The following is an 18,036-nucleotide window of genomic DNA, read 5'->3' as shown; positions in this document are numbered from 1 at the left end:
TTTGTAAGCACATATCTGAATTGTTTTGTTTACTTACTTTGTTTACTTGGTTTTGTCTATCCCTCCAATGTAAACCCTATGAGAGCAGGAACTTGCATTTTGTCACTTAAGAGACCACAGAGTACCCAGAACATCTCTCATGCTCAATAAATGTACTTGGCACATACTTGGTGCTCAGCAAATAATGTTGAATGAATAAATGACCTCACGGCCGGGCATCTCCAGAAGTCAGTGCACTTTCTGCCATGGATCTGGGGTGGAAAGGAACGTTCACAGTAATAAACAGCTACCTCGCTGCCAAATACATTCCACAGTAAAAGAAGCAAAGACACAAAAATGACTGTGGGCAAGCCAGTGCCAAAGATGAAGAAAGGCAAGAACGCTCGCTTCAGTCCTTAAGGAATTCTGTTTCCTGATAAAGTCTCTAAAGACAAATAATTCCTGGAGACCTGTAACGGATGAGCAGTAGATAGCTTCTCAGTCAGTTCTGCTTCTTTCCTTCATTTAGCAACAAATGAAGTTCAGGGGCAAGGCCAGAGAGTCAAATGAGTGAAAAAAGATGATGGATAGAAGCTCGTTCATCTGGACTCTGGTCGCCTGTTTTGGAGCCAAAGCTCAATCAGTCTGGCAGTTCCTCAAAATATTAAACATTGAGTTACCCTATGACCCAGCAATTCCACTCCTAGGTACCTACCCAAGAGAGATGAAAACATATGTCCACATAAAAACTTGCACGCAAATGTTTGCAGCAGTATTATTCACAGTAGCTGAAACATCTAAACGACCCAAATGTCCAACTGATGAATGAATAAAATATAATGTACCTACATAATACATATTACTCAGCAATGAAAAGAGATGAAGTTGGGCCAGGTGCAGTGGCTCATGCCTATAATCCCAACACACTGGGACACTTGGCCCTTGGGAGGCCAAGGCAGGAGAACTGCCTGAGCCCAGGATTTCAAGACCAACCTCAGTAACATAGCGAGACCCTGTCTCTACAAAGAATAAAAATTTAGCTGGGTGTAGCGGTGTGCACCTATAGTCCCAGCTACCTGGGAGGCTGGAGTAGGAGGATTCCTTGAGCCCAGGAGGTCAAGGCTGCAGTGAGCCGTGATCATGCCACTGCACTCCAGCCTGACCAACAGAGCAAGAGAGAGGGCGAGAGAGATGAAGTCCTGATGCCAAATGAAGGCAGCCAGTCACAAAAGACCACATATTATGTGATTCCACTTACATGAAATGAATTTGAAGCTGCCTAGAGCCAGGGGAGGCATGACTACCGATGGGTACAGAGCTTCTTTATGGGATGATGAAAGTGTTCTGAAAGTAGATAGTGATGATATTTGCCCAACCCTCTGCATTAGTAAATATCCATTGAATTGTATACTTTAAATAAGTAAATTGATTGGTATTTGAATTATATCTCAAGAAAGCTGTTATTAAAAACAAACAAAAAAACCCACAAGGCCAGGCACGATGGCTCACACCTGTAATCCCTATACTCTGGGAGGCCGAGGTGGAAGGATCGCTAAGGGCCGGGAGTTCCAGACCAGCTAGGGCAACACAGCAAGGCTTCACCTCTCCTAAAAAATTAAAAACATTAGCTAGGCATGGTGGCATGTACCAGTAGTCTCAACTACTCAAGAGGCTGAAGCAGGAGCATCCGTTGAGTCCAAAAGGCCAAGGTTACAGTGAGCTGTTATTATGCCACTGCATTCCAGCCTGGGGGACAGCAAGACCCTGTCTCTAAAAAAAAGATAAATAAAATAAAAACAAAAACTTCAGCAATGACTAAATCCTCCTATAATTGCAGAGGACCAAAAAACATTAGCACCCCCTGTATTTCCCTCATAGAGAAGGAACAGCACCTCTGCCTTGTAATACCCAGGGTTTTGTGGAGGTGACCCCTGACCCCCTTACTCTCTACACCAGCTTGCCTTGGTCTCCTATTTTACCTTCATCATTCAATAGATTGTTGCTGAGCACCTGCCGTATACCAGGAGCTAGGGAGGCACAGGCTCTGCAGATGAAGGAGGAACAGGCTTTGCCTTCAAGGAGCCAATACTTTCTGAAATTTTTCAGCCAACCACACGGCAGGAAACAGAAAAAGGAGAATCAAAAATAGTATTCTGTCCCGGGCGGTGGGCAGAAAAAATGTTTCATGTCTGGGTGGATTCATGTCCACGCTGGAAAAACACACACAGATCTGGTATGCAGACATCTCGAGGGCAGGGTGGGGCAGAGTGCAGAGGGAGCGCCCCAAAGTCAGCTCCGACAGGAAGCTGGAAGACACGAATCCCAGGGCCACAATACAGTGCCAGTGTCACCCTTCAGTTCCACCCGGCAGGACTGTCGGTGTTTTCATTGTGTTTATTTTTCTAAAGTTAAGAGGGACTAGGAGAAGAGGGGTAGAAGACAAGTGATTACTCAGCATTCCCATCGCGTTTCATGTTTGCAAAGCACTCCGGCCCTTGCCTCGAGCTGCCTTAAATAATAAAGGAATTTGAGAATCAAGCCAAGAACTCTAAGTGCTTAGCAGATACAAGGACCTATCATGGGACATCTGGCAAGGTAGGCACGATTTTAAAAATTAATCCCAGAAAATAAACACTAATGAAAAATATAATCCAATATAGTAATCTCTCTGTCAAGCTGACCTGCCCCTTGGTGGTTAATGAACTCAGTAAGCTCACGGTGCAGGCTCAAGTGTTCTCAACCTCCCTCCCCTTCACGCCTTGACATGCGCTTACTTTTAAAGAACAGGCACTGACGTCCTTTGAGATGAAAAAGTTCTACGGCTGACGCAGCAAAAATGTTATGGTAGCAGTTAAGAAGAGCGGTTTCTTGCGGGCAGGACTACAGCATCCGGATCACCATAACTGAAGAAGTTAACCATTTTTGTGTGACTGTCAAATGGGCCAGCACATCCTACAAGCATATCGTAGTGTGAGCTGTAATATACTAGAAGCACTGTGGGTTTTGGACTGTTTGGACTCAAGTGCATGGTATTTGAAATGAATGTATCTGTGATTATATTTATATTCAACTAAGCTCAGTGACCCCCTTAGCTTGGTCCATAGGGATGCTGTCTTGAGGAATGTTTATAGGCCAACTGGAGAACTCTTGGTAAAGTATAGTGAGACACTTAAAATTACTTTTTTTTTTCTTTTTGAGACAGGGACTCACTCTGTTGCCCAGGCTGGAGTGTAGTGGTGTAGTCAGCTCACTGCAGCCTCTGCCTCCCAGGCTCAAGCAATCCTCCCACCTTAGCCTCCCAAGTAGCTGAGACTACAGGTGCATGTCACCATGCTTGGCTAAGTTTTAAATTTTTTGTAGAGACAAGGTCTCACTATGTTGCCCAGGCTGGTCTTGAACTCTAGGCCTCAAGGGATCCTCCCATCTCAGCCTACCAAAGTGCTGGGATTACAGGAGTGAGCCACCACACTCATCCTTAAAATTACTATTGATATGAACCCTAACAGGACAAAGTGTTTCAATTAACTATTTCTTAGAAATACGCTGAGGTCACATAAAAATGAAAAAAAATTTGAAGAAATATTTTAAAGGTATCACCTGGGCCAGGTGCTATGGCTTATGCCTACAATCCCAACACTTTGGAAGGCTGAGGCAGGAGGATCATTTGAGGCCAGGAGTTTGGGATCAGCCTGAGCAACTTGGTGAGACCTTGTGTCCATTAAAATAAATAAATAAATTAGCTGGGTGTGGTGGCACATGCCTATAATCCCAGCTACTTGGGAGGCTGAGGCAAGAGGATAGCTTGAGCCCAGGAGCTCAAGGCTGCAGTGAGTTATGATCACACTACTGTACTCCAGCTAGGGTGACAGAGCAAGGCCCTGTCTCAAAGAAAAAAAAAACAAAAAACAAAAGACATTACCTACTTTATTTCAGACCAAGTCTCCATTCTTCCCTCCCACACTCTGTAGGACAATTAGAAAAGCTTGACAAAACAACACACACAAACATATACACTGCCCCACCCCGCCCCCGCCACACACACACACACACACACACACACACACACACACACACACACACACACAAACTAACATGGCAGTGAAGAATTACCAGGTCAAAATCTGAAAGAGACCAAAACCTAAAAAGACCAGCTCAGCATCTGGGGCTGCTTTCCGCTTGGGGCATCCATCTGCTGATTTAAGAAAGAATTCCTGACCAGGTGCGGTGGCTTACACCTGTAATCCCAACACTGGGAGGCCAAGGTGGGCGGATCACCTGAGGTCAGGAGTTGGCCACGAGACCAGCCTGGCCAACATGGGGAAACCCTGTCTCTACTAAAAATACAAAAATTAGCCAGGCATGGCGGCGGGTGTCTGTAATCCCAACTACTCAGGAGGCTGAGGTAGGAGACTCGCTTGAACTCGGGAGACGGAGATCACAGTGAGCCAAGATTGAGCCACTGCACTCCACCTGGGCGACAGAGCAAGACTCTGTCTCCAAAAAATACAAAAAACAACAACAACAACAAAAAGAAAGGATTCCTGAGTGGCTGAGAAGCTGAGCAGCATTTCTGATGGCCTTGTGGAGCCAGGAGGACAAAAATTGAAGCCCTGGGACTTGCCAGTGAGTTGGCTGCAATTTTACACAACACAGAGTAAGACATAGCATGTTACTACAGAGTAAGACAATGATAAAGGTTTAATAAATAGGAATTAAAAGTTAGAACTGTTTAACACAACAATTCTAAATTAGCAGGCACCTAAAAACAAGTCTCAGAATACATAAAGCAAACAGCTGACATCACCATAAAGAGACACAAACTACAATCATGGTGGAAGAGTTAACACAGTTCTATCAGTAACAGAGAAAGCAGGAAAAAAAAGTTAGCATATAGCAAACCTGAAAAATGACTCAGAAATTAGAACCTAATTACCATATATAGAACTTTGCCACCAGGCATGGTGGCTCACACCTGTAATTCCAGTACTTGGGGAGGCCAAGATGGGGCTATCACCTGAGCTCAGGAGTTCAAGACCAGGCTGGCCAACATGATGAAACCCCGTCTCTACTAACAATACAAAAATTAGCGAGGTGTGATGACATATGCCTGTAATCTCAGCTACTCAGGAGGCTGAGGCATGAGAATCGCTTGAACCCAGGACGTGGAGGTTGCAGTGAGCTCAGATTGTGCCACTGCACTCCAGCCTGGACGACAGAATGAGACTCCATCTCAAAAAAAAAAAAAAAAGAACTTTGCACCCAATAATCCTTAAATATACATTCTTTCCAAGCCCACATGGAAGAGTTAGAAAAATTGAACTTATGCTTTTTACCTGCACAATAGGAAAATATGCATCCATTGAGGCTAGACAAAGTGAATTAACCTGGCCTCCTGACAAAAGAGGTATGAGCTGATAAGACTGGAAGAGCTGTAGGCCGGGCGCAGTGACTCACACCTGTAATCCCAGCACTTTGGGAAGCCAAGGCAGGCGGATCACGAGGTCAGGAGATCGAGACCATCCTGGCTAACATGGTGAAACTCCGTCTCTACTAAAAATATAAAAAATTAGCTGGGTGTGGTGGTGGGCACCTGTAGTCCCAGCTACTTGGGAGGCTGAGGCAGGAGAATGGCATGAACCCGGAAGGTGGAGCTTGCAGTGAGCTGAGATCGTGTCACTGCACTCCAGCCTGGGCGACAGAGCGAGACTCCGTCTCAAAAAATAAATAAATAAATAAAAAGATTGGAAGAGCTGTGGTTTCCATAAGCAAAAGATTCTGGAAAAGATAAGGCGACTGCCCTAGTGTCTTGGAGACTTTGAATTGATGCTTTGGCTGGGCCTGAGATGGTGAGAATAAGCAGTAGAAAGAAAAAGGGAAGAGTTCACACAGCCCTCTCTGTCTTCTCTCTGCCCCTGGGAGCTACATGATTACATTGAGTTGTGTGGAAGGGAAAAGGATAATGTGAAACCCCAGCCCTCTGCCAAAAACTAAAGGGAGGCTGCAGTAATAGCAGAGTCTTCCATGCAACCATGCAGATAATTTAGCTGTTCTGTGGCCAAATCCTGCTTCCTTTCCTCCTGCCTTCCCATCTCTTCTTTCTCATCCTGTGTCATCCCATCCCACCCTAGGAACCTGCACGGGGTCCTCGCGGACCATCTCTGCCGTTTCACCATCACAAGGGTTTACATGGGGGCTAGACCCGGAAAATGCACGGTCCCTGTCAAATCTGCCTAATTTCCACCTCATTTGTACCCTAACCTTCTGAGAGAATAACTGGACCCTAAACATAGTTCTTGGTTTGGTCCTCAACTTCAGTGGCCTGGCTATGCTTTTGTTGTGCTCCAGAGGTTTGGATTAAAAATGTGGATATATGGAGGAAGACTTCTTCTAGGATTTAGAGAACCTGAGCTGAAGTTGGAAGCCTGCAGTGGAGTGGGTACAGACATGACCAATGCTTGGCAGACAAATAGGCAGTCCTAAGTACTGCCCCGCAGCCCACTAACAGGTTAATGGAACCACGGCCCTCGCCTGACCTAGTTGAAGGAGATATACAATCAGGCTTTCTGGACCTGCTGCAGTCATGACCTAATTTTCTAAAAGAATCTCAGCAACACCAGAAAGACTCTCCCTCATTTCTCCCCCAACCTGGGAACATTTAGTGCTGAACAGAAAGAGACCCTTAATCAGCAGTGCTTCCTTTGAGCTACTGCCAGCCCAACATCCCAAGTGTCTCCTCGCGAGCCAGCTCTGTCACTGATCCTTCTGTGCCCAAGTGGCCTGGCCACACCAGCACCCTTCACATATGCATGAGCTTTCACCCTGGTGTCTGTGCAAGTTTGTGCTCATGTACTCAGCTGGCTGTTTTGAAATCACACTCTGTTCAAAATTGTGTCACCCAAGTACTTCCTGAATTTTTACTAGCACTGTTTCAGGAAGTCAAGCATGTTGATGTTTACTCTAAGTGCCTTTTTAATAAGTAACTTACACTGTTTTTCCCTTGCCCTCATCTGGCAGAAGGCCAGCCAGACTTACCCTCGTACATCTCCAGGATGTGAACTGTGTCACCGATCTGCAAGGAGAGCTCCACATCTTGAGAAGCATTGTAGTTATAGATCGCTGGAAATGAGAAATAAAAAAGGGAAATTAGAATGCATGTCACTTGGCTGGGCACGGTGGCTCACGCCTATAATCTCAGCACTTTGAGAGGGTGAGGTGGGTGGATCATGAGGTCAGGAGTTCAAGACCAGCCTGGCCAAGATGGTGAAACCCCATCTCTACTAAAAATACAAAAATCAGCTGGGCGTAGTGGCAGGCGCATGTAATCTCAGCTACTTGGGAGGCTGAGGCAGGAGAACTGCTTGAACCCGGGCAGCAGAGATTGCAGTGAGCCGAGATCACGCCACTGCACACCAGCCTGGGTGATAAAATGAGACTCCGTCTCAAAAAAAAAAAAAAAAGAATGCATGTCACAGTGAACAATTCGGTCAACAAACAACTCTCTATTTAATAATTTCATGTGAATTGCCCACTGTAAAGCACAGAAATGGATCCTCATTTCCCCCATCCAACAAATATGGATCAGTTGCCTGCTACACATCACGAACTGTGTTAGAGACTAGTGATAGAGGGGCAAATCACATGGACATGGCCCCTGTCCCCAGGGAACTTAACAGTTGAGTGGAAGGAAGAAAGATATCAAATATATAATCACAGAAATAACTAGTTAAAGTTGTGATAAGTGTTAGGAAAGAAACAATCCAGTTACAATGAAAATATATTGTGGGATTTTGTTAGTCAGTGCCCTTGTTCATCAGACAACAGCCAGCCTGCAAGAACACGGAACTGATGATCTCTAGTACACAGGCGAGCCATGTCCTGGCTTCCATGGCACAGTATCTGATGGCAAAAGGCCACCTGTGAGGCCCATCCACCCTCCAGTGACAAACTGACACAGGGCACGGTGCAACGATGGTGCCTGGCCCCAGCCCAGGGCACCCTGGGCAACTGGGTTACCCCAGCACTTCCTAATCAAGGTGACCTCAGCCACCACAGTCTTTAGGGCTGGCAATGGCTGGGCCGGGTTGTGAAAAATGATAGACTAACTCATAACTCAAAAAAAGAAGACAACCCAATTTTAAGACAAGCCAGAGCTTTGAATAGATATTTTGCCAAAAATTATGTATGAATAGCTAACAGGCACACGAAGAGATGTTCGACACTATTAGTCATGGGAAAATACAAATTAAAACTACAGTGAGATACCACTCCACACCCACTAGAATGGCTATGATAAAGAAAAAAGAAAAGGCAGACAAATGGCAAGAATGTGGAGAAACTAGAACTCTCCCGCATTGCTGGTAGGAATGTAACATGATACAGCCCCTTCTGAAAACAGTTGGGGAACTTCTCAAAAAGTTAAACATAAATTTACCATAGGTCCTAGCAATCCATTCCTAGGTACCTACAAAGAGAAATGAAGCCATGTGTCTACATAAGAACCTTATGTGAATGTTCAGAGCTGCAGTGGTGGGCTGTAAAGGTGCCCCCCGGCCAAAAGAAATCCACATCAAATCCCTGGAACCTGTGTATCTTACCCTGTAAGGCAAAAGAGTTGATTAAGTTAAGGTTTTTTTTTTAATTATTCTTTAAGCTCTGGGATATATGTGCAGAACATGCAGGTTTGTTACATAGGTATACACGTGCCATGGTGGTTTGCTGAACCCATCAACCCGTCATCTACATTAGGTATTTCTTCTAATACTATCCCTCCCCTAGACCCCCACCCCCCAAAAGGCCCCAGTGTGTGATGTTCCCCTCCCTGTGTCCTTGTGTTCTCATTGTTCAACTCCCACTTATGAGTGAGAACATGTGGTGTTTGGTTTTCTGTTCCTGTGTTACTTTGCTGAGAATGATGGTTTCCAGCTTCACCCATGTCCCTGCAAAGGACATGAACTCATCCTTTTTTTATGGTTGCATAGTATTCCACGGTGTATATATGCCACATTTTCTTCATCCAGTCTATCATTGATGGGTAGTTGGGTTGGTTCCAAGTCTCTGCTATTGTGAATAGTGCCACAATAAACATACATGTGCATGTGTCTTTATAGTAGCATGTTTTATAATCCTTTGGGTATATACCCAGTAATGGGATTACTGGATCAAATGGTATTTGTGGTTCTAGATCCTTGAGGAATCACCACACTGTTTTCCACAATGATTGAACTAGTTTACAGTCCCAAAAACAGTGTAAAAGTGTTCCTCTTTCTCCATGTCCTCTCCAGCATCTGTTGTTTCCTGACTTTTTTTTTTTTTGAGACGGAGTCTTGCTCTGTTGCCCAGGCTGGAGTGCAGTGGAGTGATCTTGGCTCACTGCAACCTCCACCTCCTGAGTTCACACCATTCTCCTGCCTCAGCCTCCCCAGTAGCTGGGACTACAGGTGCCCGCCACCAAGCCCAGCTAATTTTTTTTGTGTTTTTAGTAGAGATGGGGTTTCACCATGTTAGCCAGGATGGTCTCGATCTCCTAACCTCGTGATCCACCCGCCTCAGCCTCCCAAAGTGCTGGGATTACAGGCGTGAGCCACCGTGCCCAGCCTCCTGACTTTTAACGATCGCCATTCTAACTGGCTTGAGATGGTATCTCATTGCAGTTTTTATTTGCATTTTTCTAATGACCAATGATAAGGATTTTGAGAGGAGCTCTCTTCCCTGAATTATCAGGGTGGCCTTAAATGCAATCGCATATATCTTTATAAGAGAGAAAGAGAGAGAGCTGAGAGACACACCTGAGAGAAGGCGACATGCAGATGGAGGCTGAGATTGAACTGATGTGACTGCAAGTCAGAGAAGGCCAGTATCCACCAGAAGCTGGAAGAAGCAAGGAACAGAACCTCCCCGAGGGCCTCCGGAGGGAGCACAGCCCTGTTTGCACCTTGACTTCCTAACTCCCATCTCCAGAACTGTGAGAGAATAAACCCCCACTGTCTTGAGACATCAAGTGTATAATTTGTCACAGCAGCCACTGAAATCCACTACAGTAGCATTATTCACAATAGCCCCCAAAATGGAAATAATTTATTAACTGATGAAAGGATACACAAAGTATGGTATATCCATGCAATGGAATACTATGCAGCAATGAAAAGAAATGGAATACAGACACATACTGCAACGTGAATGAACCTCAAAACATTACACTAAAGGAAAGAAGCCAGATGCAAAAGACCACATAGTTTATGACACCATTTATTCAAAATGTCCAGAATTTAGCAAATCTATCAAAGGCAATATAGGAGATTATTGGTTGCCTGGGGCTGTGAGGAGGGAATGGTGATTGACCACAAAAGGCCCTAAGGAGCTTCTTGGGGAGATGAAAACATCCTAAAACTGGGTTGCGGTGATATTTACACAACTCTGTAAATTTACTAAAAATCAGTGAATTATATGCTTAAAACGGGTGGATTTTATGGTATATAAATTACACTTGACGGAAGCTGGTTTTTTTTTTTTTTTAAGTAGATTTACTTCTTACCCTCACTCTACTGATGAGGGAACTACATCTTTCCAGGAAAAAAGAACTCCCTTAGAGATTCAGCTCTAGCCATGGACTTGACAATCCAAGGAACCCATAAGGCTCCCATCTCTGCAGGCCTGATGAGTGGCCATCCACACTGATGAATGGATAGTCACTCAGTCCATCAGTATATCCCACAGGGAAGAAAGGCGTCCTTGACATTGCCAGTGGTGGGTCTTCCCGGCTCTTCCCAGCTCTTCCCTGGGCCTGCAGTGCACCCTGCACCTGCAGCTTGGCTTACATCACAGTCAACCTCTCAGTGAGCAGGAAGGAGCACACGTCCAGCCACCTGTTTTCCAGTGGCCTCTCCTTGATAAAGGAAGTCATCCAAGTAGTGCTCTCCTGCACTCCTGGCACAGAAGCCTGGACAAAGTATGTTGGAATTTATTTTACTATTGAGCTTATGGACTAGGCTATGAATTTACAACCAGGATTGGCTGGTGACATAGGTTAGGAGAAATCGCACGCGATTCAGAAGTAGGAGTAATTCCCAATTCCTAGACTTTCTCATGGGTAACTGGGCCACCGCTGCTATTCCAGTGGAGTTCAACTCCTTCATTCGTCTGCTGGTTTACGCAAATGCTCTGCCTGCTAGTTTGGCAGACCTCATATCCTTGACATCTCCTACTCCCTATTCATGGCCTTGTACTGAAATGGTCCCTTCCATTGGCCCCCTTCTCAAATGAAAACAGGAAGTAGTGAGGTCACTGAGTCACAATGCATTGTGTAATGACCAAGCTTCACCTCTTCCTGGTTCCGGTCATTGGAAAAGTAAGCAGAAGCTCTCAAAGGCAGCACCTTGCACTGGAAGCTCCAAACACAAACACCTACCAAGGACTGCTGGAAACACACACACACACACACACACACACACATACACACACACACACACACACATATACACGCACACACCAAAGACCGGTTTGCTTAAAACCTAGATCTCTAAGCCTGACCCAAAATACCTCCAAAATTGTCCCAGCCCGTAATTATCTGTCTTTGTCTCCACTATCTGCGAAATTCCAGCCTACTCTCCAGTGAAGACTCCTATGTTCTCCCCTAAATTCTGAGCTCAGTCCATGGTTTGTTTCTGCCTAGAACAAGGGCCTGTCTTGATTTGTAACAATCCAAATCTCACATCCACAATGCAATTCAACAAATGGCTACTAGCTCCCGATTACCTGCGTGGATCTCTTTCTTCTCTGACATTCCACAACAATTTTCCCTTCCAGCGCAGTTTGGGTTTTTAATCATAGACAATCTTGTGTAATTGTCTGCCATCAATTAGAAGGAAATCCCTATGATTGGGGCCCTCGTTACACATTACTTTTGTGTCTTTCTCATTACAAGGCACAGGCTTAGTCCCAAAGAAAGTACTCAAGGTATAATAACGATGTCAGAAAAGAATATATTTTAAAAACACATATTTTTATCTCTTCTATAAAATCCATCAAAAAATTCAGTTATTCACCACTTCTTCCCCAAACTCAAACACACTTCTGCTTTCCTCCAGAGCAGAGGCTGTGGTTTCCCATCACTCAAGAAAGGGTTACTAAAATCACTTCTCCATCCATTTGGTTTATCACAAGAGAGAATCTGCCTCTCCAACCTAAGCTTTCAAAGAGATTCATGTTAGAAGCACATCCCTTCAAGAATGCCTTTCACTGGAATGAAAAGTCACCGCTTAGAGGATGTTTGTACAATCTGTTTCATGTCTCTGGGCAAAAGCACAAACAAGATTTCCAATCACCGCCGTCATCTATTCATTCTAACTCTTGGGTTTGGTAGTATGCCCTCCATATCATAATATACCTCACATTTCCAGCGTATTTCATAGTTTACTTTCATATATATCTTAGTAATTGTATACAGTGGATGCCAGGTGTCACATTATTTAATGCGGAAGCTGAGACTCAGAAGGGTTAAACCCAGCTTGCAAGCAGCAAAGCTGTTATAAAGCTGGTCTATTCATCACATTTGACCAAGCCAGTCCATAGTGGTGAAGATATGCCCTGGAATAGCCCAGAAACAAAGAGAAGAGCCTAGATTTCTCTCTTTAAATGACCATCCTACTTCCCAAACCAAGCTTTCTCATCACACACATCAGTGACTGGTGATCACATTGTCCGCTAGTCTGATGCTATTTCAAGAATGAGAGTACAGCTAATGCACTTAGTGGGCCCATAGTTTCTTTCTAGAACATGAATAACTGTTATAGAGAAAGCTAGAGAAATGGGAAACCAAGAAAAACCTCAGGGTAAGCAAAACGGATTCAAGACTCAACTTTACCACTTACACAATGCATGACCTTGAATGAGCTACTAAGCCTAGGCCTCAGTTTCTTATCTGTAAAACAGGATTGCCTTTAAAGAGCCCTCTGGTTCTAACGCCTTCTGATTCACGGGGTAATGAGAAGAGGCAAAAGAAACATGTGCCATTTTTGAACCGGCAGGCACCACCACAATCTCTTGTTTTGACTGAGGAAATTAAACAAGAACCGGGAGTTGCTGTACATACGTTGCCTCGCTGGCTGCCATGAACAGCACTGGGAAAGACAAATTGCTGGAATTCTTCCCTAAGCAGCTTACTGTTTATAACAGGAAAGTATAATTTTGCAGAGCCAAGTAGACAAGACAAAATAGTTTGCATTTTACTGAATCTTTGATTTGGCTCTTTCTTTTAAACCAGGCTTACATGAGAGAAGAAAACTGAAGTCCTGGGATTATGCAATAAGAAACCAACAGAACAGACTTACTGGCTGCAAACTGAGTGATCAGTTTTGACAATGAAAAGTCTGTAGGCTAGAAAGTAATAAATATTTCTTTTTTTATGTTTATTTTTTATTTTTTTGAGACAGGATCTCACTCTATCAACCAGGCCAGAGTACAGTGGCACAATCGTGGGTCACTGTAGCCTTGACCTCCCTAGGCTCTGGTGATCCTCCCGCCTCATCCCCCCAAGTACCTAGAACGACAGGCATGTGCCACCACACCTGGCTAATTTTTAAAATTTTTTTGTAGAGACAAAGTTTCACCATGTTGGACAGGCTGGTCTCGAACTCCTGGGCTCATGTGATCCACCCACCTTGGCCTCCCAAAGTGCTCAGATTACAGGCATGGGACATCCAGTCCGGCCAAGTAATGAATATTTCTAATGAATGAGATTATTACATGAATCCTCAAATTACAATCCCCTGAAGAATAGCTACATTATATTTTTTATTAGTCACCTGATAGAATCTACAAAAGAAAGATCCAGCAAACACAGAATGAGATACCCATTGGAGACATATATCATTCATAATATTCCAAAGATGACTATGGCCAGGCGCAGTGGCTTATGCCTGTCATCCCAGAACTTTGGGAGGCCGAGGCAGGTGGATAAGTTGAGGTCAGGAGTTCGAGACCAGCTTGGCCAACATGGTAAAACCCCATCTCTACTAAAAATACAAAAAAAAAACCACACAAAAAAACTAGCTGGGTGTGGTGGCTCATGCCTGTAATCCCAGCTACTCAGAAGGCTGAGGCAGGAGAATCGCTTGAACCTGGGAGGCGGAGGCTGCAGTGAGCCAGCATCGCACCACTGCACTCCAGCCTGGGCAACAGAGTGAGACTCTGTTTCAAAAAAAATAAAAAAAAGATGGTTACAATTCTTCTTTTCCATTATGATCTTGATCTGCCTAGTTTCAGATATGCATTCTATAAAAACTAAAGAGGCACAACTCATCTTTGATCTTCATCTTGGCTTTCCTGCAATGATATCCAAGAGGGCCAAACAGATTTCATTTTCTTATGCTCTGTAATTACACTGTACTATAAGGACAAGAAAATCATATTCAATAATAGGTATAACACCAAGAAGTCAAATCTGTGGTTTTAGGATGATAATTACAAGTAGGTTCCAAATCAGTCTTTCTACAATGAGATGACCATCACGCCACCTCTCTGCTCAGACCCATCCAGGACGGAGGCTATCAGGTTAGGACATCAGCTCTACTTCTCACCAACAGTACTCCATAAGAGCAGGCTCTTACAGGATTCTTAACTTCATTTTCTAGATAGTTTAGGAGAAGAGAGGATTTCATAATCAATGCATTGATTACTATTTAGAAATCTCTATCTTGGCCAGGTGCAGTGGCTCATGTCTGTCATTCCAGCATTTTGGGAGGCCGAGGCAGGTGGCTCACTTGAGGCCAGGAGTTCAAGATCAGCCTGGCCAACATGGTAAAACCCAGTCTCTACTAAAAATATAAAAATTAGACAGGCATGGCAGCACGCACCTGTTATCCTAGCTACTCGGGAGGCTGAGGCATGAGAATCGCTTGAATCTAGGAGGTGGAGGTTGCAGTGAGCTGAGATCGTGCCACTGCACTCCAGCCTGCACGACAGTGAGACTCCGTTTCAAAAAAAAAAAAAAAAAAGGAAAAGAAAAGAAAAAAATCTCTATCTTAAAGATTACATATATTTGTGAAGGGAATAGATAAATATCTTGAACTGGAGGGGTATTTCTCAGATATAAACTCAAATATTGTTTCTTGATTGCCTCACTGGCAGCAAGTGATGACTTAGAAGCCACATCATTTACATGAATATGACATTAAATTTATATGAAATGCTTACAGCAGGAAAGCAGAAACAAGGCAATTCGAAATTACAGAACAAAGGCCCAGCATAGTGGCTCACGCCTGTAATCCCAGCATTTCGGGAGGCTGAGTGGGAGGATTGCTTGACCTCAGGAGTTTGAGACCAGCCTGGGCAACATAGGGAGACCCTGTCTCAAAAAATTATAAAAATTAGCCAGGCATAATGGTGTGTGCCTATGGTCCTAGCTACCCGAGAGGGTGAGGTGGGAGGATCGCTTGAGCCCAGGAGGTTGAGGCTTCAGTGAGCTGAGATTGTAGCAGTCGAGGCTACAGTGAGCTGAGATTGTACCACTGCACTACGTAGGCGACAGAGCAAGATCCTGTCTCAAACAAACAAACAAACAAAAACAAAATTACAGAACAAAAAGTCTATGGTGTATAATCATAGGAGTTTTTTCCCACAGCTTCCTCCTCTGAAAAAGGGAGGCAACAGTACATTCTTCCTATGGTTTTGTGAGGCCCAAAAAGGAGAATTTGTGCAGGGCCAGAATGATGACTAACACCTGGCAGACAGTGAGTAAAGAGCAGTCTCCTCCCCTCCACTCCTTCCCCTTTCTCGCCGTGTCCAGCTTCCCATTCAGGGCATGGTGACACCTACATCCTCAAAGATGGACACTAACCCCTCATCAATAAACCAGTGGGAGTCGGTCAATGAAAACAGTGAATCAGGAAGGACTGGAGAGGTCAAGAACAAATCAGCCTCAATGGTCCTTCCAAGGCAATGGTTGATGGACAATGAAATGCAGATGTCTTTGATTAGAGCAAAGCCATTTTATTGCAGGCCGCTAAATACAGAGCTCCTTTAAGAAACAGCACCAGGTGCGGGGAGTATTTTAATACATTCACCATTTCTTGCTGCCCCTTCCAAGCATTTCTGCAACAATTCATTGAGAAACCAGGGTATTATCCAGAATACTAAAGATGGCCTCAGCCATGTACTCACCACAGGACCCTCAGGCTGTATATAATATCAAAGGTACACATGCTAATGTTATTCATGCCTATAGTTCTATTAGCCTCCATTTTTCTCAATGAATATCTTCCTTATTAAACAAAATAGGAAAAAGTAAAACAGAAAAAAATCTGATAGCAACTATTGCAGTCTTTAATAATGAAGGAAAACAGCTCACTACCCAGCCCAGAACATCTTTTCCAAAGCAAATAAAGTCTCCTTATCAGGTTCTTCTTGGTACACATCCTTATGAAACAAAAGGTGAACAGATCTAAGATTAAGACGGTCACATCTAAGACTCTGTTGAGCTAAGACTCTGTTATAGACAGAAATCATCACTAAGGAATAGAGAATCTGAAGATAAATGCCAGAGGTTACTGTGGAATCTAGAAAAAGCACTTTTAAATGATAGTTGAGGATGTCACCGATTATCCTCTCTATATGTACATGAATGAGACAAACACATTTCACTGAGAAAAGCAATGATCCCCAACCAGGCTACACAAGTCATTACTTTGACAATAACAACCTAAAAAATGCAAGTACAACAGCAGCTTCCGGCCCTGGGCCAGTCTGAGGACAAGCTCTGGCCTGACTCCTTTAACCTCTGGATCCTACTCAGGAGGATTTTAGAACTGAATCTCAACTTCCTGGGTATTTATATACTCCAGAATCACACCCTACTGAAATTGCAGTGAGGAAACAGAAGGATAGGACATGTGTACATAGGTGTGTGTGTGAAGTTCAAAGTGACAGACCTGATGTGATTATTTCACATTGCATGTCTGCATCAAAACATCTCGTGTACCCCATAAATATATACACCTACTATGTACTTATAAAAATTAAAAATAAAACAAAATTTTTTAAAAAGTGAAGCACTAAAAAATATCTAGAATTTTAAAAAAGAAAGAAAAGTGATAGACCAAGGCGAACAAAATTACAGCTGTGCCATTGAAGATATTTTCCATAATGTGGCCAAAAAACTACCATCCTGGACTCTAGGGCAAGTGATTCAATCTTTGCAGGCTTCTGTTCCCTCATCAGTAAAGTGAGCTGGTGTTTTACCTAACTCTTCTGGTTAAGAATAAAATGAGAAGAAACAACGAGCAACTATTGGTCATGTCTTTGGAACCAAGATCTTTCAGCATCAAAGACAAGTACACAATCAAAAAGGTTAACTGATTCTGGGATGACGTGGGTTGGAAATATCAGTTTGAATTTGGGATTTGTTTTCTACCTAAAAAATACATATATCAATTCTACTTGTTGCCCAGGTGGACTAGGGAAGCAACCCATCAGGGACCAGATGAATTATCCTGCTTTAAGCATTAAAAACTAGGCAAAATGTACATGACACGTTGGTTTTCAGACACTGAACAGCAGGCAATGCAGGGAGTGATACCTGAGAGGAGAGAAACAGATAAGTGAAGTCTACACCTGCCTGCACTTACTGCTTGAACAGGGTTTCCAGGCTATTGTGCAGGCAGCCAGTGGTCACTCTGAGACCAGGAGAGTGGAGAATTCAGGGGGGTCAAGGTGGCTAGAATGTGCAGGGCAGAGAACCAGAGAGAAGAGGGCTGCTCAGAGAGAGTGCTAGAGATGTGTAGAAGGTTCCCCAAGTCTTTAGCTGAGTACTGGTCAGTGCATGTGTGTGAAAATACCCGAGGCTAAGAAAAAAATCACTGGAAAAGAGCAAGAGGCATTGTTCCCAACCCACGCACATGGATGAGAACAGCTTACAGATCCCACAACCAGAGTAGAGAAAGCTTGGAATATGAGGGTACTGGGCTGAGAGCTCAGAAGGGTACTAAGTACTCGGTAGTGCAGTGTTACAGACTGAATGTTTGTCTCCTGTACCCCTAAATGTTTATGTTGAAATCTACGCCCATA

General features: G+C 43.9%; 1 protein-coding gene across 2 annotated transcripts in view; it reads right to left on the bottom strand.

The window, feature by feature from the left end:
* The window catches only part of DOCK5 (dedicator of cytokinesis 5), a 231,023-nt gene that overhangs the window by 164,943 nt on the left and 48,044 nt on the right, over positions 1–18,036 (bottom strand). For both annotated transcript variants that reach the window (NM_024940.8, NM_001322810.2), the window contains exon 2: positions 7,012–7,095. In NM_024940.8, coding sequence (NP_079216.4) covers positions 7,012–7,095 — 84 coding nt within the window. The remainder of the gene's footprint in view (positions 1–7,011; positions 7,096–18,036) is intronic.

The sequence above is a fragment of the Homo sapiens genome, chromosome 8, assembly GCF_000001405.40.
Source record: "Homo sapiens chromosome 8, GRCh38.p14 Primary Assembly".
Taxonomy (NCBI): domain Eukaryota; kingdom Metazoa; phylum Chordata; class Mammalia; order Primates; family Hominidae; genus Homo; species Homo sapiens.
Note: the sequence above shows the minus strand (reverse complement) of the source record. Positions and strands in the feature narration are given on the sequence as shown.